This window comes from Homo sapiens, chromosome 13 (genome assembly GCF_000001405.40).
Source record: "Homo sapiens chromosome 13, GRCh38.p14 Primary Assembly".
Taxonomy (NCBI): domain Eukaryota; kingdom Metazoa; phylum Chordata; class Mammalia; order Primates; family Hominidae; genus Homo; species Homo sapiens.
The window spans coordinates 93,504,330-93,531,480 of NC_000013.11; the positions used below are offsets into that span (position 1 = coordinate 93,504,330).

Genomic DNA, 27,151 nt, shown 5'->3' on the forward strand with positions numbered 1-27,151 from the left:
TGAACAGGACATACTTACACCAACAACATCCTAAACATATATAATATATGACACATACCTTGGGTTCTCTCAACCCCTTCTCCCCACTTCTGTATGATTTACAGAGCATCCTGCATATTCTGCCAACACATTATAAAAATAAAAACAACATAGTTTTTTTTTTTTTTTTTCTGCTTTCCCTCACTGGATTGTAACTTTTTTGGGGTGAAACCTGGGTCTTATTCATCATTGTATCTTTAGTGATAAGCCCATATTTTGTTGCAGTAAAGGTACTTTATTAGTATTAAATGAATGAATGCATTGGCTCAAATAGCTGGAGGGAAGGATAAAGGTCAGAAATCTTGAGGTGATAATAATTATTCTTAAAAAGAAAAATAACATTTCCAATAGTATAATAAAATAATTACCAATAATTATCTAAAAAAAACAACAACATTGAGTTCCTACTATCTGCCATTCACATGCCAAAGAAATTTTCTGTATGGTGTTTAGTCCTCTGACAACCTCAGGAAACTGAGCATCAGAAAGGTAAAGTTATTTGTTCCTGTTCATATTACTAGTAAATATATAGCCAGGTACAAGTCAAAGTTATGTCTAACCCTAGTGCTGTTCTCTTACACAGTACAAATCTGTACCTCTTTGAGTGTGAAACAAACCATGACAGTTTAACAAAATAATGGGCCAATGTAATAATATGTTGTGTTGCTGTAGTTTATTTTGAGACATATTTGATGGAAACGGATGTGAAAGGAATACAAAGGTAGTTGATCTGGAGTTCAGATTGCATTAAACATAGCATAATATTTACAGCCATGTTATGGTGATACAATTAATATAGTAGTATATTAGTCAAAATGTCATATTAGCAGGGGCCTAAGAGAAGCCCTTGGCCTTGCTTTAGCCTCATTTTTTGCAGTAGTTATGATCTGTAAACTAGCTGCACACTGGATTGCCAAATATTGAACTTTTGCTCCTGGGGGAAATACATGGTTAGGTCCCCTGTAAGTCTCTAGTTACACTATTTTCATTAGCTTATTAGCATACATCCTTGTTTTATGTGTGTTACTGTTTAAAAACTCTCATTCTCTCTCTCACACACGTGCACACACACACACACACACAGAGACAGAGAGAGAGAGAGAGAGAAAGAGAGATTAACATTGCACTTACAGCCAGTGGCACTCAACCAACACTCTAACTCGTCTGAGTGAAGCTTATCTGACATGCATATTTTCTTATAAGGCTCATCACTGCCTTCTGCTTAGGGACATTAGACAGCAGTTCAGCACTACAGCTGGGGGCCATTTTAAACAGTGAAATCACCAAGGAAAAGCACAAAAATGCAAAAGAATTTATATATGGCACTAAATAGACCATGAAAGGGGCACTTGTTTAAGTGTGACAATTGAAACAAGGCAAAGCATTGCTTTGTTTGTCCTCAGCTGGGAACATGTGTATCAGATGACTCAAACTGCTTGCTGCTCTGCACAGGTTAGTGAATGACTATGAAAGTGCTGTATTACTTTGGGACATAGGAATAAATTGTAGTGAATAAGAAGATTTGCAAAACAGGACCTGCAAACATTGAGGACTGCCTGTGTATCTATTATAAAATAGACTCGTTATTCCCATTCCTAAGATTTGGGCTATGTGCGTTTTTCTACTTTATCTCATTCTTCTCCTGTTGTTGTCATTGGATACAGTTATTGCTGCCGAGGTTATGTCCTGTGACCACTAGGCTTTGTTTGCTGTAAGCCATTTCTTCAGATAGGAGAAAGTTGTTTATTGGGTCTGGTTTGGTATGTTAGCATATCTGCACAGTTCAGAGCCCACTCCACCCCACTTCTATCATTAATGAAGTGAGAGAAAGGTTAGGAGCTCTCCATTAAACCCACAGAATGTATTCTAAGGTGGATTCATTTGTTTAGAGGATTTGCAAAATTTGAGGGGGGCTGTGTACTTGGTGGATTGTTTCATGCACTTTCAGCTAGCCAATAAGAAATTAACCATTTTATCTTGGGAAATGTTTCCCGTGCTTTATTCCAGTAAGAAAAACTGAGAGTTCACTAACTTGGTAGCTATTAGGATATTACTCAAATGATCATTATACTAGCATGTCCGGAAGTCAAAAGGAAGAGGTAAAAGATAACTCTTCCATATGAGGCTGACTTACCAATATGTACTTTCCTTTCCCTGTGGGAGGGCTAGGCATTTCTGGAGGCTATAAACTCTTCCAGGCTACCAGTGCATCTCAGAACTTTAATTTTTGAAATGGTACCCTAGAGGTCTTATAATTGAGGCTCTAAGCAGACAATTAATGGTTCCATAACCCACTTTATAAGCATGGTGGTTTCTATTTGAATATCCTGGCTCTAAACTTTCTCTCTTCTTTCAGACTATAAGGAATGTACTTTAAAAAGCCCGGAGTAGGCCGGGCGTGGTGGCTCACACCTGTAATCCCGGCACTTTGGGAGGCCGAGGTGGGCGGATCGCGATGTCAGGAGATCAAATCCATCCTGGCTAACACGGTGAAACCCTGTCTCTACTAAAAAAAAAAGAAAATACAAAAAAAAAAAAAAAAATTAGCCGGGCGTGGCGGCGGGCGCCTGTAGTCCCAGCTACTCGGGAGGCTGAGACAGAATGGTGTGAACCCGGGAGGGAGGCGAAGCTTGCAGTGAGCCGAGATCGTGCCACTGCACTACAGCCTGGGCGACAGAGCGAGACTCCGTCTCAAAAAAAAAAAAAAAAAAAAAAAAAAAAAGCCCGGAGTATATTCACACTCAGACAAGGACTGGTCAACTTACTTGCTTTGTGTGGAGCATCCCTGTGAAAGATAAACAGGAAAGTAGGAAAGTGGAAAACAGGAAGTCTAGGAGCAGCTCTGCCGTTATCTACCTGAAGCTTCGGCCGAATTAATCAGACTTAATAGATCACATCGAGAAGACTGGACTAGAGCCCACCTTCTCTCTCCTTTCTCTCTCCATTTATCATTCTTTAATTTGGTGACAGTTTCTTTACTCTTCCTGTTCCACAGCAGAGCTTAGATACCATCAACTCTTCAAATCTTTTAATCAACGAAGATGCAACTAACTCCTCCCTTCCCCCAAATCTAGTAAAACACTTGATATTATTACACAACACATTTAAAATAGCTATTTATAGAAAAAGATCTATAGGTCAGCTCACTACTTTAATTCCAATGAGCAGCTTCAGTCCATGGAACTTCAGTATTATGGATAATGATATAGCCAGCAAATATCTAAGTGTTATAGACATAGATCGTATTATAGATAATTTGTCTTTTTATGTTTTTCTTTTTTGGTTCGCCAATATCGACATGAGTGACATGAGTCAGTAGGGTATAAAAAATTCTCAAAAAATTACTTTTCCTGTCCTGACATATAGAATGTTTTTCGAGGTAGGTGGAAAGTTATCACTTGTCTCTTTATTGACAGGAGGGAATGAGGAGCAAGATATGAATGTTTTTCTGTTTAATAAACACATTGATTAGCTTGTCTCTACCAACTACTGTGCTTACCGCTAAGCATATGAAAAAAAAAAAGTCCTCTGTGATTTAAAAGTCTAAGAGATTTACTAGAGAGTTAAAAAACTTAAGAAATCTAATATTTATTTATTCAACAAATATGCATTGAGTGGCTCCCATGTCCCAGGCACTGTTTTACATGCTGGGAATATAGCTTCTGGACTTAAACACTTTTATTCTAGTAGAGGGAGAGAAGATTTAATTAAGCAAGTTGTAAAGAACTATAATCTGGCAACAAATATTATAAGGAAAACTAAGCAGGGTAAAGGGATAAAGAGTGATGAGAGGTTTATTTTAGGAGGGATAGTCAAGGTTGTATTTTACAAGGGATAGTCCATTGGAAAACAACTGGGAATAGGCTACTCTGATTTGTTCTTTAAAATTAGGCAGTTATAGAAGGCCTCCCTTTTAGGGGATGTGTGAGCAGGAATTAGGGAAATGGAAAGCAAGTCACCAACTGTCTGGGAGAAGAAGCTTCCTGACAAAGGGAATACAGAGTGCAAAATCCCTGAGGTGGGACTACACCCAGCATGTTTAAGCAAGGTGAGGCTGGTGTGGCCAAAGGAAACAGAAAAGGGAAGATACTACAAAATGAAGGCAGAGAAGAAGCAGAGGCTGAAATCATCTTGGGCCACAAAGGCTGGATTTTATTCTGAGAGAGCTAGAATAACTTTGAAAGTTTTGAGTGAAGGACAGACATGATTTTACTTATGTATTAACAAAAGGTTTACTCAGGCTACTGTGCTGAGAATATATTGTAGAAAAAGTGTTGAGTATTACATGTCCAGCACAGGTGGCAGACGGATGGTGAATTCATTCTGTTCCTAAAGGTAGAGAGGTATTGTCTTCCTAGGCATCAGTACAGTCGGAGCAGGGCTTTAGAGGAAATGTGGATCTTTTCTAGGGAAAGGGTGGAGGGAAGACATTGCAGGTAGGGGAGAAAGCTGAGCTAAGAGGAAGTGAGCAGTGGTATACTGTAAAGTGAAAAGACTGGCAGTGGTATGTGTTGAGCCTGGAAAATGTATCTGTATGTCCTTCTGAAGAATTAGGCTTCATCTTGCTAATGGTTGGAAGCCCCTGAAGACCTGTAAGCAGGGGAGCTTATGGTCGGTCACCTGTTGAGAGGTGACTCCACTGGGAAGATGGAGGGTGATTGATGGCAGAGCAAGCCTTCAGAGTAGTGAGGGAAGCAGTGGTTCCAGTGACTTGAGCACATACCAGTTGGGGTGAACAGAAGAGGCAAAATTAATAGGTGCATTTGAGTTAGACTTAAAATCATTTGAGTTATCCTTTAAAACTAAAAGCACATCATGCTACCAAGTTCATTGAAATTGTGCACCTTCCAATGTAAAGATTTATTGATGGCCATTTTATCAGGCAACAAGTCAGGTGATGACATGTTAAAAGCTGTTTCCAAAATGAATTACATTCTCCATGTAGTATAAATATCAAATGAATGTAGTAGTTATGCCTTAATAGTATGAAAGAATTGGGCTGCCTTCCTCTCCAATAACACGTCATGGTTGACATGGATTCAAAGGCTCATTTGTTGCTGCTCTTCTTGACTCAAAGAAAGGGTACATCTTCATTTAACTCAGCACAGGGTCTGAGAACAAGCCTTGTGAAATCTTAGAACAATATAATGAGTAAACCAAATGCCTTCCATTGATAGTCTTAGAATGCCCTTGAAGAGTATTTGCTTATTCATAATGATGATTATTTTCTTAAAGCTTCTGTCTAAATGTTAATATCTGTGGACATACCAAAGCAACTTGCCTCAAACATGAGAGCCCTCACCGAGTTCCACAGGCTCTTTGAAGTATGGATTTAACACCATTTGTTCCATGTGTTTTGAACAGCAAAAGTAGTAAAAGACATGCAGGTGCTTGTCATTGAGAAAAAGAAAACTCTCAAATATTCATGAAGTGCCTGCTATTGCATTTTAATTTACTTTAGGAAATTGCCTACTTTGTTATTCATTTTTGTTTTGCATAATAGTTAGGACAGCTCTGCTTGGTTTCTGATTCTTAGGCGCCTGTGCAGATGCAGATTTCTCAGATACCTAGCACACAGATTTTTCTGTTGAATCATAAATTGAATTTCTTTCATGAGAAGGTAATTTATACTTTAAGGCATATTTTTGTTAATAAACTGGGTTCTTCTGAATGTTTTTTTCTCTTCAGCACTCCTGAAATTAAACATTATGTCTGTCTCTCTAATATTTTATGCCCTCAAACCAATTTTGGCATAATTTTATGGGTTTTTGTGAAATTTTGTTACATGTAATGTGTAGTGATCAAGGCAGGATATTTAGGATGTCTATCTCTTGAGTACAATACATTTTTGTTAATATGGTCACCCTAGTCTGCTATCAAACATTGAATTTGTTCCTTCTAACTATATGTTTGTATCCTTCGACCCACTTCTCTTCATCTTCCCTCTCCCCCAAATCAGCCTTCTCAGTCTCTGTTATCTATCTTTCCACTCTCTACCTCCATGTGATCAACATTTTTAGTTCCCACCTATAAGTGAGAGCATGCAATATTTGTCTTTTTTGTGCCTGGCTTATTCACTTAAGTTAATGACCTTAAGTTCCATCCATGTTGCTGCAAATGACGTGATTTTATACTTTTTAATTGCTGAAGAGTATTCCATTGTGTATATATACCACATTTTCTTCATTCATCTGTTAATAGACAGTTTGATTCCTTATCTTTGCTATTGTGAATAGTGCTGCAAGAAACATGCAAATGCAGGTATCCTTTGATGTTTTGGTTTCATTTCCTTTGAGTATATACCCAGTAGTGGGATTCCTGGATTGAATGGTAATTGTGTTTGTCGTTTTTTGAATAATCTCCACACTGTTTTCTACTAGCGTGTTACCACTAACAGCGTATAAGCTTTTTCTTTTCTCTACATCCTCACCAACATGTTATTTTGTCTTTCTAAGACTAGCTATTCTGACCGGGGTAAGATGATATCTCATTGTGGTTTTGGTTTCCATTTCCCTGATCATAAGTGATGTTGAGCAGTTTTTTTGTATACCTCTTGGCCATTTGTATGTTTTCTTTTGAGAAATATATATATATATATATATGTGTATATATATATGTGTATATATATATATATATATTCATGTCCTTTGGCCATTTTTTAATGAGATTATTTGTTTTTTTTTCCTGTTGAGTTTTTTGAGTTCCTTGAATATTCTGGATGTTAGTCCCCTGTCGGATGAATAGTTTGCAAATATTTTCCCCCATTCAACAGGTTGTCTCTTTACTCTGTTTATTATTTCTTTTGCTGTGCAGAAGCATTTTAAAAATTAAGTCCCTTTTGTCTCCTAGATTTTATTGTCTGATCTTTTAAGGTCTTAGTCGTAAGTTCTTTGTCTAGAACAATATACAGGAGGGGTTTCCTTAGGTTTTCTACTAGTATTTTTATAGTTTCAGGTCTTATATTTAAGTCTTTATTTTGAGTTGATTTTTGTACAGTGAGAAATAGAGGTCTAGTTTCATTCTTCTGTGTATGGATATTCAATTTTCCCATTTATTGAAGGTGGTTTCCTTTCCCCAATATAAATTTTTTTGGCTTTGTCAAAGATTAGTTGGCTCTAAATATGTGGCTTTATTTCTGGGTTCTCTATTATGTTTCATTGGTCTGTGTATCTACTTTTTTCCAATACTGTGGTGTCTTGGCTACTTTAGCCTTGTAATAATTTTTGAAGTGATGTAATGGAATACTTCCAGCTTTGTTCTTTTTGCTAAGGATTGCTTTGGCTATTTGGAGTCTGGTTCCATATGAATTTTAGGATCGTTTTTTCTAATTCTATGAAGAATGACATTGTTATTTTGATAGAGATTGCATTGAATCTGTAGATTGCTTTGGGCAATATGGTCATTTTAATGATATTGATTCTTCCCATCCATGAGCATGGGATATTTTGCCATTTGTTTGTGTTTTTTCAATTTCTTTCACCCAAGTTTTGTAGTTTGCCTTGTATAGATCTTTCCCCTTTTGTTTAATGTATTCCAAGGCTTTGGGGTTTTTTTGTTTGTTTGTTTTTGTAGCTATTTTAAATGGGATTGCCTGCTTGATTTCTTTGTTGACTAGATCATTAGTGGTGTACAGAAATGCTACAAATTTTTGTACATTGCTTTTGTATTCTACAACTTTACTGAATTCATTTATCAAATCTAAGAGATATTTTGGTGGAATCTTCAGGCTTTCCTAAATATGAGGTCATATCATCAGCAAAAATGGACAATTTGACCTCTCCTTTTCCAATTTGGATGCATTTTATTTCTTTCTGATTGCTCTGGCTAAGACTTCCAGGGCTATACTGAATAAAAGTAGTGAAAGTGAGCATCCTTGACTTGTTCCAGTTCTGACAGGAAAGGATTTCAACTTTTCCCCATTTAGTATGCTGTTAGTTGTGTGTTTGTCATATATGGCCTTTGTTATATTGAGGTGTGTTCTGTCTATGTTTAGTTTGTTTTTAATCCTAAAGGGATATTGAATTATATAAAATGTTTTTTGTGTGTCAGTTGAAATCGTTTTTTCTTTCATTCTATTGACATGATGTATCAGCTTAATTGATTTGTGTATCTTGAATCATCCTTGCAGTCCTGCTATAAATCCTACTTGATCATGGTGTATCATCTTCTTGATTTGCTGTTGGATTCAGTTTGCTTGTATTTTATGGAGGATTTTTACATCTATGTTCATTAGGGATATTGGCAAGTAGTTTTCTTTTTTTGTTGTGTCATCTGATATTGGTTATCAGGGTGATGCTGGCCTCATTAAATGAGTTGGGAAAAATTTGGTTAGGAGAAGGAAGAAGATACTAGTTATTTGTGAGGTTATGTGGTAACTGCAAGTGGGTTGATTTTAGGATAAAAATTTGTAGCTAAATGGTAGGTTGTTTCAAAAATTGGCATTATCTAGATATTAAACAATAATATGCTAAAAGGATTTTCTATACACAAAAGCAGATAACTATAATATCAGAGATATTATAGAACTGAGAATGATAAAACTACTTTTTCTAAAGTATATATGAAAATCAGATTTAAAAAGGCTACTACAGTGCAAGGTGTCCATTTAACTTGAGTAAATTAGCTATGCTAGATATTCATGGCTGATCTGTATCATATGCTAGGAGGACTTGACTTTGTTAGCTATTGTCCTTGAAAAACTGAGCCATTGCTGTAAACTGGATTACAAACTTGAGTCCCTGGAATTAATCTTTGCTTTTCACTGGTTCTCTCTCCAGTGTAGCTTCTGTTGGGAATCAAGCGGGAGTAAGATGAACACTTTGTGTAGTAGTTTCCACCTTTTTTATTACAGCTCAGACTTTAAATCTACATTTTACTCTCATCAATAGAATCATTCTTACCACCTCACCTCAGTCCCCGGATGCCCCTGGGATGATAAACCAATGACAGTTACAATTGACCTTTTGTTTTCTTTTCATTTTCTGCCTTCTTTCAATTGTGTAATTGTAAAATACATGTGTTCAACATAAACCTAGCCAAATCAAATTGGTGATCTTTGCCCTGAAAATTCATTGTAATTTTACTATTGTCACCTTATATTGTTTGACTATGATTCTAGGTTTTACCTTTGTGTCTGGTAATTAGTAAATGTTGGTATTCTCAAAGTGAATCTTATCATGTTCTTCTGCCTTGTGGTGTTCATTATAATGCACCAGAGATATTCTAAAATAAAAGCCTGGATTTGGGATTTAGGCAATTACTCAATAACTCCTCCTGCCCTTTTGCAGTCTCTTGGTAGTCACTCAAAGGACACAGCTATTGCACGATTGCACGATTTCTGTGATGCCAGACTTGTCTGACTAAACCTCTACTTTATGCAGACTGAATATTTTTATAGCCCTTCATTAAAGTCCTTGGGTTGTAAGTGCTGAGAATCAGCCTCTCTGATGATTTTCCCAAACACCAGTGGCATGAAATCCCATGAACGAATCCTTTGCTGAATGATGGCTTTTTTTTTTTTTTTTTTCGGTGTTTCACTCTCGTTGCCCAGGCTGGAGTGTAATGGAGCAATCTTGGCTCACTGCAACCTCCACCTCCCAGGTTGAAGCGATTGTCCTGCCTCAGCCTCCCAAGTAGGTGGGATTACAGGCACCCACCACCACGCCCAGCTAATTTTTGTATTTTTAGTAGAAACAGAGTTTCACCGTGTTGGCCAGGCTGGTCTCAAACTCCTGACCTCAGTGATCCACCCGCCTCAGCCTCCCGAAATGCTGGGATTACAGGTGTGAGCCACCACTCCTGGTCACATTCATCTTTTCACTAGTAACCAGAAAGACTTGGATTATTTGAGAAGTTGGTTGGCTGAACAGACGTCTGTGTGGCAGGAGGGAAGCCATAGGTGCTCTGTTGGTTTAGAGAGCCTTACTGCACTCAATCCCAGAATACAAGAAGAGTCAACTGTTAGCAGTTTTGCGGTCTATTTTACCTTTTCTCATAATATTCTCTCAAGGGAAAATAAGACTCACAACCACTCAATAACATTAAGGAACAAGAATAAATATGGACTCCAAAAATGTTAGGGCAAAACTCTACATGGGGCCAGAAGCTCCTTGGAACAGATAACTTTGAGGCTGTATTGTAAATACACAGTGAGTATAATTTATCTTTTCAGAGCATCTCACATCCTTGGTAGGCATATGCAATGGTCATTGGAACTACTCCCACATATACAGATTCTCCTGCGTATGGGCACATGTTAGAATTTTATTTCACTATTCCCTTTTAAGTTAGGTATGGCTACATGATTTATTTTTCTATGAAATGTGAGTAGAAATGAACTGTCTCGTTTCCAGATGGAGGCTTTAAAAGTCAGACTGGGATTTGTTCAGAGAAGGGAATGAGTTAGCCTGAATTATTGAGTGTTCATGAGGGACAGAATCCCCTACCAACCTGTATTGGACGTAGAGTCGTCGTGAGGAAAAAAACAAACAAACAAAACAAACAAACAAAAACACATTTGGCATTGCTTGTTATATGAAAATTACATAACTCATTGCTATGGGCTGAATATTTGTGTGTCTCCCAAAATTCATGCATTGAAGCTCGCATCCCCAGTGTGATGGCATTTAGAGAGGGGGCCTTTGTGGGGTAACCAGGTGATGAGGGTGGAGGCTCATGGTAGTATCTGTGTGCCCCTACAAGAAAACAGAGAGCTTGTCTCCTTTCTCTCTTGCTATCTCCACTGCCTGTCTTTGCTCTCACTCTCGCTTTTGTCCTCTCTCTGCCATGTGAGTGAGTATACGGTAAGAAGATGGTCATCTTTAAATCAGGCGAAGGGTCCTCACTAGATGCCAAATCTGCTGGCACCTGGGTCTTGGAGTTTTCAGCCTCCAGAACTTTAAGACACACATTTCAGTTATTTAAGCCACCCAGCCTATGATCTTCTTGTTACAGCAGCCTGAACTAAGACATTAATCTGGACTGTTACCATTTATTTGTTTTTATAGCTCTTTTAAATTGCATGAAGTAATGCATGCTATGTAGGGATAATCAAATATGTTTTTATAATACATTTAATAGATGTCTATTCAGCAATTTCTTTTGGAGATGGATTGGAGCTTGGATTTTGCCTCCACCAATGGCTAACTTCAGAAACTTGGGCAAATTATTTAAATTTTGTGAGCCTTATGTTTCTTCAATTGCAAATGATGGCAATACCACTTACCTCATAGGTTTGTCCTGAAAATGAAATGATTAATTGTATGTAAGTCACCCAGTAAAATTCCAAAGGCAAAATAAATACTGAAAATATATTCATTCTTACTAGTCTGTCTTTTAAATACTGACTAGTGACGTATCATGTTAAATAAATGCTCTTGCTCTCAAGTATCTTGTAGTAGAGTATTTAGACACACAATTAACCATAAATAAAATACAAAGTGAAACTCACTATTAAGGATCCACAAATGAAGTACTTGAAATCTCAGAAAAAGTCATATCTATAGAAAAATTCTATAGAAATTTTGAGCTCTAGGCACACACGCAGAAAGCCAAGGAAAATAGTAAATATCTAGCAAAACTCACATAGTGGCTTATGTAAGTCATTTCCTAAAAAATTCCCAAGGTATTTTTTTAACTTGTTTTATCAAAATCCATTTAGAGATCGACAGCTTTTCTTGCAACATTGGTGAAAGCTCTTTCAGAACTCTGTTACTGTAGAAGCTTGCCATGTGAAAAATTCATTAGCAGCAAGTTTGAAATCTTAAAAGCCAGTGTGTGTTTTAGAGGAGTAGCTAGCCCATCAGTAAAAAGAGTAGAGTAAAAGGTTCACATCAAAAGAGAAATCTTCACAGCACCGATGTTATCAACTCTCTCCAGATGTGCAGTTTTCTATGTTGCACTCACTTTTTCATGTGTCATTAGCAACCTTATATCTTAACATGGAATGCTTGAATGGAGTCCTTATTAATGAAGTCGCCAAGCCCAATCTATTCATCAAATATGGTCTTGGGGTTAGAACATTCTGGAATATGCAGGGAAGAATGCCCAGAATTGTGGACCTCCCATACTGCCAATTTACCAGGAGAGTTTTGCCAGGAAGTGGGGCACAGGTACAATTGGAAACAAGCTGTGAATACATTTTTCAAGAGACAGGCATAGGTTTTCAACACCAGTAAAAGGTTTCTGAACAAAAGCAAAAATCAATGTAAGTTAAGTTTTAATGGGAAATAAAAAAAATAATTACTTATAAAAGTAGGAAAAGAAGAAACCCTTCAAGATAGAACAACATGGGATATCCTATCTATGCACAAAGCAAAACAAAACCAAAAAGGTATTTATTTTGCATTTTTATATTATGCTCTGTGAGCAACAGGTGTATAAGAACATATATGTGGGATGAAGGAAATTGGTAGCTTAGCTGCCTGTGGGCTCCTCTGAATTTTTAAACTATAAAATCACCTCCAGCTTTTGAATTGGGTGGATATGCAGTTAGCTAGGTTTTGCAGCAGTCTCTTTGAATTAGAAAGATCATTACCATCAGTAGCTTGGTCAGGACTGTATGTGGTGGGGCCAAAGCTAACCAATAGTACAAAGAGACTTTGAATACATGTTCTATGCCAGGCATTATGTAGCTCTCTCTTGCTAGAAAAGCAAGATGTGGATTTTAAGGGAAAATTATTTTGAACTCACTTGTTATTTTTAGATGCATTCATAGACAAAGAGAGAATTACTGTGTACTATTGTCACCAAACGTTAAAGAGAAATATGAGGTTTAATAAGGCAACAAGAATCACCTGATACTTTTCCTCTTGTACCTTGTGTCTCAGAAACACCTTTCATCACAGGAATGATGGAGTATCTAAGGAAGATGTACTTAGGAAGAACAAATGTAAGATAATATGATTTCTTGCCTCATATTTAATTTCCATGGCCCTTTGGGGATAATGTGTTTTCAAGGCCAAGCCTCCTTTTCAGGCAACCAGATAATAAGAAGTGCTACATTTTCATATGCTAACTTGGGAAAATTATTCATTTTTAAAATTTAATTGCTTTAATTCTTGAAGTTCATGGCTGTAATTTTCAGATGATGTGAATCACTCAGTGGAGGTTTTGTTTGTTATTTGTTTGAAATTAGATTCTTTTTCCATTCGCCATAATTAATTCATTCACATTTGGTGCTCTTTGCATTTTTATGTTCTTTATGCTTTATTTGGGAAGTTAATTTGGAGAGAAATTAACTCCAACTAGACTTCAGTGGCTGTTGTAATTTTTTTAGTCAGATCTGCCCAGAACATCACTTAAAAATGACCATTTCATAGGTTTGTTTCAAGCATCAGTATATTGTGGGTGTTAACCTATCTTGGCATGTACTACAGCAAGAGCTCTTAATAACTCCAGTGAGGGAATACAAATCTTTCTTTGGGTAGAGTGACAAGGAGTGCCATGAAAATGCCTTCATATTAGATAAGGTTCACATTTAAAAAGCACATAAGTCAGCAATTTTAGTCTATTCAATGCTTAAAATCAGTGGCTATTTTTCCTTTTCAGCAAATCTCTCTTCTAATTTTAGTTATAGTAAAATTCAGGGAAGAAATTGCTTATTAATATTATTATTATTATTTTTAGGGGTATATGTAGTAAAACTGTAAGATGATACTTACATCCAGGTAGTAGCTTCTTGGAGTTTTGAATGTCAAATTTATTCATTTATCAAACAGTTTTTCAGTTTTGTTTGGGATACAAAGTTGATTCTTTTAAAGGAGCCTCAGAGCACAGGAGCTCACAGAATCCTGAATTTTATGTCTATCGAAGAGAAAATGGTGGTTAAATGCTACTTCCTCTCTGAAAACTTATCTAGACAGAGTTTTGATCATTATCTATGTCCTGTTTTGGAGACTTCCCGGCTTCCTTAATTATTTTCTTTATGTGGATACATTCAAATGTAAACCTATAAGTGTGCCTCTTTTTCTGAGCACAGATGGGCCTTAATCTAGTTCCGTCAACTCTTCTTGCTTCTCCACTTTTCCAATCTGTTAGTCACACCTCTATCAGACACCTGGAGGCAAACCCTACTACCGTCTTTGACACCTCTCTCATCCTTAGCTTCACTTCTTGAAAACAGAGCCTTTGACATCCTAATTCATATTCTGATATTTAAAATATGTATAAATTGAACATTTCATTAGGGAAATCAAAGTTCCTTAACTGTTATCTTAGTAAACATCAAGTTTTCTCATAGTGAGCTACAAAATAATGCCAGCAGAGGGAAGATAACACTTGCTTTGGGACTCTCTTGGGCCAGTAGTTAAGCCTCTGTGAGCCTTTGTTTTCTTCTCTGCAAATGGTAAATGCAATAGGGCCTTTCTCAAAGAATTACTGTAATTCTTAAATATGATTAAGATTTAAAAGCACTTTGTTTCCCAAGTAGCAATATAAATTGTGTTTATTATGCAGGACTGTGTTGATAGTTAACAAAGTGTAAGACATCAGTATAAAAGAACAGGATTTCTAGGCTAAACCAGGGATTAGCAAACTAAGGTCAGTAGGCCGTACCTAGTTTGCACACAGTATTAGTAAATAAGGTTTTATTGGAACATAGCCACACTAATTCATTTATGTATTGTGTATGGCTGCTGTCATTTCAGCTACACAGGCAGAGTTGAGTAGTTGTAATAGAGATCTTATGTACCGCAAAGACTGAAATAGTTAAAAATATTAAAAGCCTAAAGTATTTTTCTAAAATTTAAAGCTTAAACTATCTGGCCTTTTGCAGAAAAGTTTGCTTACTTCTGCCTAAGGCACCTACCAAAACTGGTGTAACTTTTCTGTATTCTTCTACATTCAAACTGACCATCCTCCAATTTATAGAATAGGTTTTAGAATTTTATCTCATTTAACATTTATTAGTTTAATGAACTTTAAACAAATTATAGAAGATGTTACATATGCAAACATGCACATCTGTGTGTTTCTGTTACACACACATACACACACATTCTTCCGTAAAAGTGGGGCAATTTCCACACATTAGCAATGTACAAAAAGCTTAAACTACATTTTCCTAGTACAAGGCCAAGATAGAAACACTAAACAAAATCTGATCTTCAACCTGAAAATCACTTTCTGCATAATAATGTCTGAGTTGATGAAGGGAAAAAATAAAAGGGATACACTTTAATTTGCACTTGAGTAGATTATTTTTTTCTGATGTGATTATGACAGTTAAAATAAAACACTCACCAAAGCACATCTTAGCATCACAGTCAATGTTTGAGTTTGATTGCATTCCAGTCTGCTGGGTTCTGGGAGGCGGATGACACTCCCCTCTTAGAGAAACAGGTAACCATTCAATAGAGCCTAAATAGATGAGGCTCTTTCATGCCTGGCTCAGACTGTAATTAAAAGAAAAATCTAAAAGTTATATTTCTAAGTTACTCTATATTCTTTGACTCTGTATTCTTTGTGAAACAGAAAATGTGAAAATTCAACGTCTTTAAAAGAATGCTTTGCTATGGTTTTTTATAAAAACTGAAACGAATTTTGTCATCAGCTAAGAATTGTATTAAATTGAATTTTGTAATGAAACAGTGTAACTATTCTCTGCAAGACTTATTTGACATCTTAATTTTCTTGCCTATTCTAACATAGAAAGTGTCAGCTGTTCATTCATCATAGATTTTACTAAACTTCAGCATATAAACTTGTGATGAATGATTAAGACACATTAGGCCAACTGGGTTGGCTCTAGTTTTCATTTTCAAGAACCTTAAAAAGCTTTGATTTGCAGCTGTTAGAAGCAAGTTAAAATATTATCAGAATACCACCAACTTGGAAAGTGCAGCTGATATATTACTGGTGACTGTGCGAAATTATAGCATTGTCCAATCCAGGTACCAGATGGTCCATCTTCCTTGATTTGAGGAGCATTGGTTGACTACAAATTTTACTTGCTGCCCTAGGCTTGTTATTGACCATTAGCATGTGAGTTACAGATTCCTTAAATTCTTTGCCAGGTGACAAATTGACCTATTAACAAGTCACTTTCTCAAAAAAATGCATTAATGTTTTTCAATCAAAGGACCAGTTGCAAATGAGCAACATTTTAATAAGTATTAGTTTTGCTTTAAAGGAATCAGTAAGTATCCTCACAAGCCAAGTTGCTGAAATAGACTTTAAAAAAAAAAAACACTTGAAGATTTTTAAGAGTGTTGGAAAATTTTGAAACAAGTCTTTTAAAAATATAATTAACATGTAAAGATTCTCTGTGTTTTAATTCTTTAATAGCATGTTCTTTTGGTGATTTTCTGTGAATAGCATTTATGGAGTATAGATAAAGTAGAAAACATAATAAATTTGGACTGTTTTTCATAGTAGATAACTTACATGGACAAACTATACAGGCATGGAGATGACATAATAAACTTATAGACAAACTATAGACAAACTATACTATAGACAAACTATATATACTTATAGACAAACTATACAGGCATGGAGATGACATGATATTGGAGTTCAGAAACCCACCTTTTTACTTCTGTCTCGGAACTGATGAGGTGAGCCAAAGAGTTTCATCTATAGAGTGTGGAGGTCACGTTAAGTAATCTCTACATTATCTTTTACATTTAAAATATAAGAACTTTAGTAATCTAATTGTGATTATCAATGGAAATGTACACGTATATGTTAGATTTTGTATTTAAGAAGTAATTTCATTAGTACTTGAAATTTAAGGGAATATAAGGAAATCTTTTAGTGGAATACTGCTGTCTCTGAAAACCATCACCTATAAAGCATCTAGTTGAACAGATTTTAGGAATCTGTTGAGATAATTTATTCTAGAGTCTTAAACTGGAATAATATTGCATTTTCTTTCTAAGAGAGATACAGAAGTCTAAGAATTAACTCCAGGGGAAGATTTATTTTCTTTTCTTTTCTTTTTTTTTAGGGTGAAAGTGGTATATGTACTAAATGAAATTATCTTGATGCGATAGACCAGTATACTTGGTAAAGCTACTTGATATACTAATTTCATCACTTAAATGTGACAGCCACTGGGATTTCCAGCAGTGCTACTATTCTGGACCTATTAATGCTTCAGAACTTACTTGTCTTATGTTGGCAGGTGCTTGTGAACGCTGGTGCAGGCTGATTAGCCATTGCTTTTACAGTTATCACTTTTACTTTGAACTGTCTACAATGCCTGCCTTATTTCTGAAGGAGGGTGCCCCATGGGCTTCCATGGCTCTTCATACAGCATGACTGCTCTTGAAAAATGCTAACAGGTTGTGACAAATACTAAGATAATATACTGTAACATACTTATATGAGGTGATTGGTGGCAAGGCATCATTTCTTGTGCTAACATTAAGTTCTCCAGTGGTATTGGGCTCATTCCCCAGCTATGTGTTTAAAATAATGACATAGTTGAGGGTGTATTTTCAGGTAGCTTTTAATGATGGGAAAACTCCAAAATTTGGGAAGAAGACAATAAGTGCAGTTTATTTTATCATATGCTAGGTTTTAGGTATAGACTTTCTTTTTCCTTTTCTAATTTGTTAATCTTTTCTAGATACACATAGAAAGACTAGGTTTTATTTAAGTCACCTTTATCCTTAGCTTTCCTTTTAAAATAAGTATCAATTACTTTCTATTGTGCTGTTTCATTTTATCTTAAATTTATATTTTAGATAAAAGTGTGACAGACTTTGAAACAAGTCAAAATGATTGCTGGGTATCTTTGGTGGAAAACTAAGCAGTTTCTAGGCACACCCTCTGGGTTATCTGATTATATGGGGTCTCTGCGCCTGTCATTATCTTTGAGCTATTTTACAACTCTGTTGGTTAGAGATAATTGATAGCAATGCAAATGATTCTTGTCTGTAGACATGCAAATTAATTTTGTCCCATAGAAGCACAACTGATTTTTAGCTTCCAATCTCACCCCATTCCGATTCCTGGAATAATCCAGTTTTGTGTTCATGTATAATTCATTTCATCATTAAGTTTTGCTAACATTTTTGTGGTTTTTTGAATTCACCATTGAACTAGTTGTAACTTCTTACTTATTTTCCCATTAATTAGCTAAATAACATCCCTGACAAATGTTTATCTTACATATGTATGGACTATGATTATATCCTCTGTTAAATATTATCCTTTAACAATATTCCCTTTATGGCAGAAATGTTGGAGATGTGTTTTATTATATACTTATGCTCCGGTCATGCTAGATGAATCCTGAGAATCTGGCTTCCAAAAAGATCATGCTTCAGAGGAGATGAGCTAAGTCATCAAAGACAAAACAAAACAGTGGATGTAGCCAGTGTGAGTAACTTTGGCTCTCACTGATTCCTTCCCGCTGCTCTGCAGATAGGCTAAAATCCGGAGGCATTTTTTTGGCTATCAAATTCAAACTTAGCAGCAGATTGGAAGCAAGTCTTTTCTTTGCCATGGAAGAGGTTGAAAGAGAAGTGCTGGTGGCTCCTATCTGAATTGCTACTTGGCTGCACATTTCAGTGATTTTGTTTAGCATCTGAAGGAGACAAAGGTGGAGGGAAGAGGAAGGAAAAAGCAGTTTGATGTCAGAAAGTTATTTCTCCAATATCATCTATGTCTTTGGATCAAAAAGAAAGAGGGAAAAAATATATATATATATATATACAAATACATACACACACACACATATGTGTATACATATACATATATGTGTGTAACATGGTGTATGACATTTTACACACACGTGTGTATATATGTACCCATATATACATATACACAATATTATCCATATATGTACATATATACACATACATATACACATATATGGATAATATTGTGTATATGTATATATGGGTACATATATACACATATGTACATATACACATATATGGATAATATTGTGTATATTTATATATGTGTGTGTAAATAACATATAAGGGTAATATTTAAAAGAGGATATATATATGCATGTGTATATGTATATAAACACATGTATATATGTGTGTATATGTATGTATGTGTATATATATATCCTCTTTTAAATATTATCCTTACAGTTGGTGTATGACATTTTACACACACACACATACACACATATGACATTTTACACACATACACATACATATATGTGTATATACATATTTGTGTGTGTGTGTGTGTAAAATGTCATTGTATACCAACTATAAGTTACGCACTTCCTCATTTGCTGCAATATGTCATCTTCCTCACAGTGCTGTGATTATGGGTATTTTGTTATGCCTGATTTTACATTTTACACAGCTCCTAAGTTGAAAGACAAAGATTCAAATGTATGTCTCCATGATCCCCCAAATCAAAAGTCTTGATGTTGCTTTGCTAACTTTTCCATTTGTTTGGAATTTTTTTCTTTGTTCTTTTTTGCTTTCTATCAGAATTAACTTCCGAAAGCTTTCTGCTTTTCTCTCATTTTGAATAGCTTTTGTTAAAATCTATATGGGAATCCACATCTCCCCATAGACCAGGTGCACTGGAAGATTTGAGGGGTTGGGAGGAGAGTGTGGATGCAGACCAGTGTGAGTCTAGAATAAGCCTGTGGCAACCTGGGAAAAACAGGGTGGGAACTCAAAAGAATTAGAGAGATATCCTCACATTAGATTTCAGTGGAAAGAGAGGGGGGAAAGTCATGTATACTGGAGCATTCCTATGTGAGTTCAAACAAATTGCATGTAAATTTGGGGCTCACTAATAAGGGCTGTGTGACCTTGAACCTGACTTTCTTCAACTAGTAAAACTTAAAGACAAAAATACCCAACTCTTTCAGGCAAGGAGGAGCTGAAATACCAGTAAATGCACTAAAGGGTAACTTTGAGAGGTTTGACTTTGTCCAACACTCAGAATCACCACTCACCTCCTTAACCACAAATCACTAGAAACAGGCATGCAATCAAAGACAAACAGGAGTATGCTTCCTAAGTGAGGCCAGCTTCAAGAAGGGGTGAACATTGGAAGTAAGTTGCTTCACCTCTAGAGATGAATAAATAGGTACAATAAAACCTGCCATAGAGCATAACTTGAGGGTCAAATGAGGGGAGCTTGCAGACTGAATTTATTTCATTTGACTGCTTCAGTCCTTATGTCATCCTCTCCCCACAGGATGTAGCCTTGGACAAGAAAGTTTACATTGGTCCACCTCTAATATGGACAAGGAGATCCATGTTTGCCTCTCTCATACATGTACACACCCTTTATTCAAGTCACTTTAGTCATCCAAATATAATTCTTAGTTTTTGAGACACTATTGTCAACATTGAGACTTCTGTACCCAAAGGTTATTTTAGAGAAAGATTCATCGTTATGTTTGAAGCTGGAAGATAGAATGCACTCAGCTACATGTGCTTTCTGTGAAATGTAGTTGGGCTGATGCTATTACAATCTTTCAAGTACCAAAGCCCATATCTTTAATTCTTTTTCCCATAGCATGAAGTGCCAAAAGCCAGCACTGAATGTGTGTATGTACCTCGCCATGTGTTGCTGCAAATTTAGCTGTAATAATTCTGCAGAGGGCGATAATTCTGCGGGAGATCTTCTTCAGAAGGAATCAGAAATTAGCAATTAAAAGTCACTATTTTGTTGTAAATGGTCAAGACCTTCTTCATAGTAAAATCCGTATTTGGTCGTTGACTCTAATGGAAGCTGTAGACTCCTACTAATATTTGTTTAGGGATGAATCCCATGGAAGCTGCAAGCATGGCTAGATTCCACCACTCCTTGTACATACCATGTCTATATCCTTTGGCAGGGCAATCATGAAAAGCAAAATTAATTTGAAAGGAGAAGAAAAGAGAATTTACTCTGAATCCCAAGAGACTGCATGCTTTGAACTTGCAAATTACAGCCATTTGCACAGCAAAGTGATGAAACAAATCCTTGGATTTCATTTGCTCTCCACTGTGCTTTGGGCAAAGTGTCAGGAACATGCCCCCCAAGAGGTAACTAAAGATCATTCTCACAAAATGTGCTATCAAAACCCAATTGTCTAAGAGCATGTGTTTGGAAAAGAAAATAAACCTGAGTGTCAGTGAAACAGAATAGCTTCTAGGATTTTATCTGGGAAAACTGTCAGGTTTTCTTCTAATAGGTTTATACAGGTTCACTCACCTCTGACTCCTTGCCTTATTTCTGGGAATTTCTCCTGGAAATTGAAACTTTTATAAAGTACAACAGGATAGACTCTTCTGAGCACTCGAAGTGGAAAAACTGAACTAATTTTTGATTTGTTCAGGAGCCATTCTTTTTATTCACCAACCTTAAAGTACTTAACAAAAAAAGGCCTGGGATGATGGTTGAGCTTGAGGTCAGTCAATGGATTTTCAAACTAGAGCACAAGGCTAAGTTTCTCAGATGGTTAATTATTTATAGGTGCCAGAGCTATCTCCTTATAATAGTAGGCATTCAATATATGACTGAAAGAATGAGTAGAGAAATGTAAAGTGATTGTGAATAAATGAATTAATAAAGAACCAATGGTTTCAGCCCAGTGGCTCACAACCTACTCACACAAGACCCTTATGTATTTGCTATACACATCTTATGTTTAGAAGGAGAATGCACAACATTGTAGGATCCTAGAGTTTAAAAGTGCATTGTTTGTTTAACCTTGACAATTATTAGGTAGTTAACAAAGATGTATGATATCTTGCCATGAATTATATCTTTCTGTAAGATGAAGACACTTGTTCAGCATCCAGCACAACTTTTAAATATTCTGTCCCATACTCTGATAGCTAAAAATTCTGTTTGCGATGAAATGAGCCTAGAACCTAAGTCCACTTTTCTATCAAAATAAAATATGGAAATATGGGCTTTTCCATAAATCGCCATACATCAGGGTGCATTAGAATGAACACTATAATAGATGCACAGACCAAAGGTAATTCAGTTACGTGGGACATGTAAATGAATGTCAACTAAGGTGATCAGTGTAAGTTTCTTTGAGGAGAAATTATTTAAATTGGGAGGACTTTTCAGGGATTAAAGATGTAGACCCCGAATACTTATTATGCAAGGAATTGTGCAGGAGCCCTGAGAAGGCAAACTTAGTAATCCAGATCACAGAAGTAACAGACATATTATAAATTGGGTTAAATGCTATCAATATCTTCCTTGTGTACTATTAATTGCCTGCACATATCCTTATATATTTTCTCTTCCCCGAGTACAGTAACATTTAATATAGGAGGCTAAACCACAGAGTATGTAACTGGCAATTTCAAATAACGATTAGGAGATGCAATGACATAGGCTGAAGTTAACTTTTCTGAAGCAACATTTGCCCTTCAAAGATTGAATGTCATCCCACTCTAGCCCTTGCATTAAAAAGTCTCAGTTCAAGACCCTTTTCCATTAATGTCTTACTTTGAAAGAGCCAATCTGATAAATTAAGTATGTTCTTAGGTTAAATGATATTGATTTAATCAGATTGTTATTTTGCATATTTTGATTTAAATGCTAGGTAAAAGCAGGGATACATGTGGCTTCCAGCAGTATCATAGGATGTGTGTAACTGTTTATTCTGCCTGTTTTGTTGGCAGTCTAAGAACTTTATCCCAAATAAAGAGATTATAAACATGAAGGAAAAGCTGTGATTATTCTTAGTGTGCCCTAAGCATTGTGTTTTTATTCCTACTGAGATATTTTAAGTTTTTTTTTTAAAAAGCTTTCTGTAAAGGAATTATTTAGAGTTTTTTTATATTTTAAAACAATGTTATTTTGATATACATATACAGAATGAAATGATTACTGCAGTCAAGCAACTTATCGTTAGCAGTCAAACAAATTAACATATCCATCACCTACCATAGTTACCTTTTGTGTGTGTGTGGTAAGAGCACCTAACATCTATCTCAGCAAATTTCCTGTATACAGTATAATATTATTACCTATAGTCTCCATGTTCAAAAACATTACGTTCGATGTAAAGACATTTTTCACTCTTCCTCCTTATGCAGTGTATTCCTTAAAACTCAGTTTAGCGTTTCACTACTTTTTTAGAGATATGGGGTATGTGCTTTAATTTCATGAGTCTTTGTTTCTCCCTCTTCAGAGACTCTGAACTCCTTTTGGTTTAAAACCATGGCTGAGCTTTAATCACACAAATTATTTAATGATAATGCTTGACTGTACTGCTGTTACCTGAACACAGACATTTTAAAGCCCTAGGTTGGAAAGGATGCTAGAATTTATTATATCATTTGAAGTGGTATCATTTTAATATTTAGGTACCTATACACAAATTTTAGAAAGAGACCTCTTGCCCTTTATTAATTGAAAAAGTGATGCCAGGGGAAAAGGGCTGTCTCCTTTTTGTTGGCCTCGCATCCCCCATCTGTGAAATAGAGACTGAGTGATATTTACCTATGGGCATCCATCTTAAATGATTAGTGGGAATTAAGGTAATTATTATAAATTAATGGCTGTGTGAGTTATAAAAGGTTAGATATTATGGAGTTCCATTGTCATGGAGGGAGGCAATTAAAGAAATATACACTTATAGACTGTACCATAGATCTTGTGACATTTCTAGCCACTTTGCCTTTCATCGTTTTACTCTATGTGATATGATCAGTGTTGTAGTCATGCTTTTACAGATGCCTACTGAAATTGCACTATTTTATAGGGAAGAAAAATAATTTTTCATGAAGTCTTACAGGCAGTTCAATTTGATTATGTTCTTAATCACTCTCACCTAGACTTGGCCCTTTTACTGAATTGGTCTGAACTAGTTTACAGCTCTTGGGCTTTGAACAGTAAATCTTAAAATTCTAATGTCAGCTGTTATATAGTTTAGTAAGAATGCTGATCTGCTGCTATCAGGAGCAAAAACGAGCACTTTGAAAATTAGTTTATTGTATATCACCCCAGACTCACCAAATTCAATAGTAAAGTGGCTAACTTTGAGTAAGCAAAGAGGGCTGTGGGACTGCAACTGCAATAAACTTGAAATTGATTGTTTGTGGGTGAATTTATAGATGGTAGTTGGTTTGATTTATGCATTAAGAGTCAGAGAGAGTGAAAGATGGAAATCAGCATCTCTGGTCAGCTGAGTTGTAGAAGGTCACTGGGAGGTGGTGAATTACTGTTTGCCATGGTTTGGCAAGCAGTGTTGAAGCTGCTTAATGAGATCTAACCAAACTTGTCCATAAAGATGACACATGCAAAAAGGAAAAATATTATTCAGATAAGATACCATTCAGGCTCTAGGACTAAAAACATCTTTGGATATTTGAATATGAAGTTTTTGGCATCTTCTAAGGTAAATATGGCAAATGAGTTGTGAGCAGGTCTGAAATTTGCAACATATTTATAAATACTATTTACATTTCCCTGTCTTGAGTTAGCGATTAGCCTTTCTTTTGGATATGAAGACAATATATTTATGAAACACAAATGGAAAATGAGCCTGTATAAATATGTTTTAGAAACAGTGGTTGAGATGTAGATATACTTAAAAATACTTTCAAGGAGGACATCTTGATATCATTGAAAAAGAAAGCATGCATAAAATCAGCTAAACCTATCTAAATGAGCATAGGCTATTTATGGGTTCATAACTATGCATTAGTATGTGGACTGTCTATCACAGTCCACATACTGTGGAAAGTATCACAAAGTGATACTTTCTATCACTGCTTACACACAATATCAATTGTTGAATTTCAAATATTTTGCCCACAACCTACCATAAGACATATATATTGCATCCCAGTGCATATACAATATATACAAGAAATATTTTTACTTCTTATGATGAGCTCTGAAATACTCTGTTGTATTTTAAGCTTGAACGCTGATGCTAACTGATGTTAGGTCCTGCAGTTTGAAAGATGGTTGAGCTGGGGTGAAGTGAAACAGGTGAAACCTCCACTTCGATGTTCTTCCCTGGTATTGAACCTCAAAGAGATTGGTAATACTACTAACACTTGCTAAGAAATCAAGTAGGCAGAATTACAATTAAAAAGACCCTGAAATCAATGCTGTCCTTATAAAAGGCATCAAAGAATAGGTGGGTGGATGTCCAGGATTATGTGGTCTTATACAGCTTGTGCTTATCTGTAGAATGCACCTCAAAACATAGATGCTTCCTTCCATAGTGGACTCTGAGATTCTTTTTTTTTTTTTTTTTTTTTTTGAGATGGAGTCTCACTCTGTCACCCCGGCTGGAGTGTAGTGGCACCATCTCGGCTCACTGCAACCTCCACCTCCCTGGTTTCAAGCAATTCTCCTGCCTCAGCCTCCCCAGTAGCTGGGATTACAGGTGCCCGCCACCACGCCCATCTAATTTTTGTATTTTTAGTAGAGACAGGTTTTTACCACCTGGGCCAGGCTGGTCTCAAACTCCTGACCTCGTGATCCACCCACCTCAGCCTCCCAAAGTGCTGGGATTACAGGCATGAGCCACCGCGCCTGGCTGTCTCTGAGATTCTTAAGCACAAAGTCTCTGCTTATTCTTCTGCAGCACCAGGCATTATACCTAACCCATTGCTTGTGTGTTATTGAGTGGAAATTAAACAAATGAATGAATGAATAAATAAATAAATGAAGAAAGTGAGAAGAACATGAGAAGAATCAGATGCATTCCATTTAACTTTTATTGCAGAACCTCTGTGGTGACCTATGCTAAAGCAGTGAGCACTGCAAAAGTAAACAAGACACAGTTCGTAATTACTAGTTTGGGGTGTAATAGCAGTGGTATGAGCAGATGGCTAAGGAATATGGAACCTTAGGTCTTTCGTAACAGTAGCATAGAGTAACAGCTTCCTACTTGGCTTTGGCTCTGTGTTCTGAAATAGAAGCAACAGTCTGGGACTGAAAATTGCAAAACCTGGATCAGTTACCTTGGTTCACCTTGTCATGATGATAACCCTTCTTGTGACAGGTGGTGATTTTAAGCACACAGTAGAACCATAGTCCCCACTGTCCACCATTCTTAAAATAACTACCCTATTCTGCTCCTCCTCATTTCTCTCCAGGTAATTCATTACTGTACTTTGGCAGTCAGAAATGTGAGGAACTGATTTTCCTTTGAGGCAAATAGGTTTTTGACCTGCAGATCTATGTGGGTAGTGGAAATGCGGACTCTCTTGGTCTAGGGGCTTTTCTATTAGATTTGGGACTCAATTAAGTGAAAGAAGGAGCCAATCAACAATATATAGTACTCTTAGCTCCGAGGAGTGGCATGCTAGAACCGGCGCATATTGGTTTGTGAGAACCGATTGTTAAAATTTCAGGAATTTTTGAATCTCTTCCTAAGAACAGCAATTATTAAAAATAAAATGCATAAATTTACAATTAAATTATGTTAAAATAAAAATGGTGGACCCCAAAATACTGTCAGTTTCTAATTATTTTATTAATAGTTATACTCTTGATATCTGTCATACCTGCCTGGAGGAAATACTACATAGAAGACACTATGCAAATCTCTCCCCACTTCAACATTCATGACACAATTTTGGCAGCTAGAAATCAGCTGTGTTGGGAGTATTTATGTCATGGAAATTGGTATAATTTGGGAATTATATTGGAGAATACATCCATTTTAAATTAAGAATTTCCCTCAGAACTGGAAAGTTGGTTAACACAATACTGACTCCGTTTATAATATCTCAGATACTGACACTGACGGATACTGAAAAGGGAATAAAAATAATATGCAAAGGTCCTAAACGTTGGGTTAAATGGATAATCATAGGCAGTCATGATGAGTGCCATTGTAGACCTACTGGAAGATGACAGAGCTAGTGCAGAGGTTCCCAAGTATTCTGTTCATGGAGTCCCAAGTGTCTGTATCAGCCAAGGTTCTCCAGAAAAACAGGACCAATTATATGTAAGAACATATATATTTTACATATATATTTACATTTATATATTATAATGATATATAATATATATGATAGAGGGAGAAAAGGCTTTATTTTAAGGAATTGGCTCATGTGGTGTAAGACTGTGAGACTGGCAAGTCTGAAATCTGCAGGGCAGACTGGCAGACTCAAACCTTATGCAAGAGTTGATGCTGCAGTGTTGAAGAAGAGTTTCTTCTCCAGGATGCCTCAGTTTTTGCGTATAAAACCTTTCA

The 27,151-nt window shown here is 36.2% G+C and overlaps 1 protein-coding gene across 3 annotated transcripts in view; it reads left to right on the top strand.

Moving 5' to 3' along the window:
* The window catches only part of GPC6 (glypican 6), a 1,191,492-nt gene that overhangs the window by 287,801 nt on the left and 876,540 nt on the right, over positions 1-27,151 (top strand). The window contains exon 1 of one of the 3 annotated variants that reach the window (XM_017020300.2): positions 3,395-3,418. The exons of the other annotated variants lie outside the window; for them this stretch is intronic. The gene's annotated coding sequence lies outside the window, so the exon portion shown is untranslated. Of the gene's footprint in view, positions 1-3,394; positions 3,419-27,151 lie in introns of those variants that run through there. 3 annotated transcript variants of the gene reach the window in all.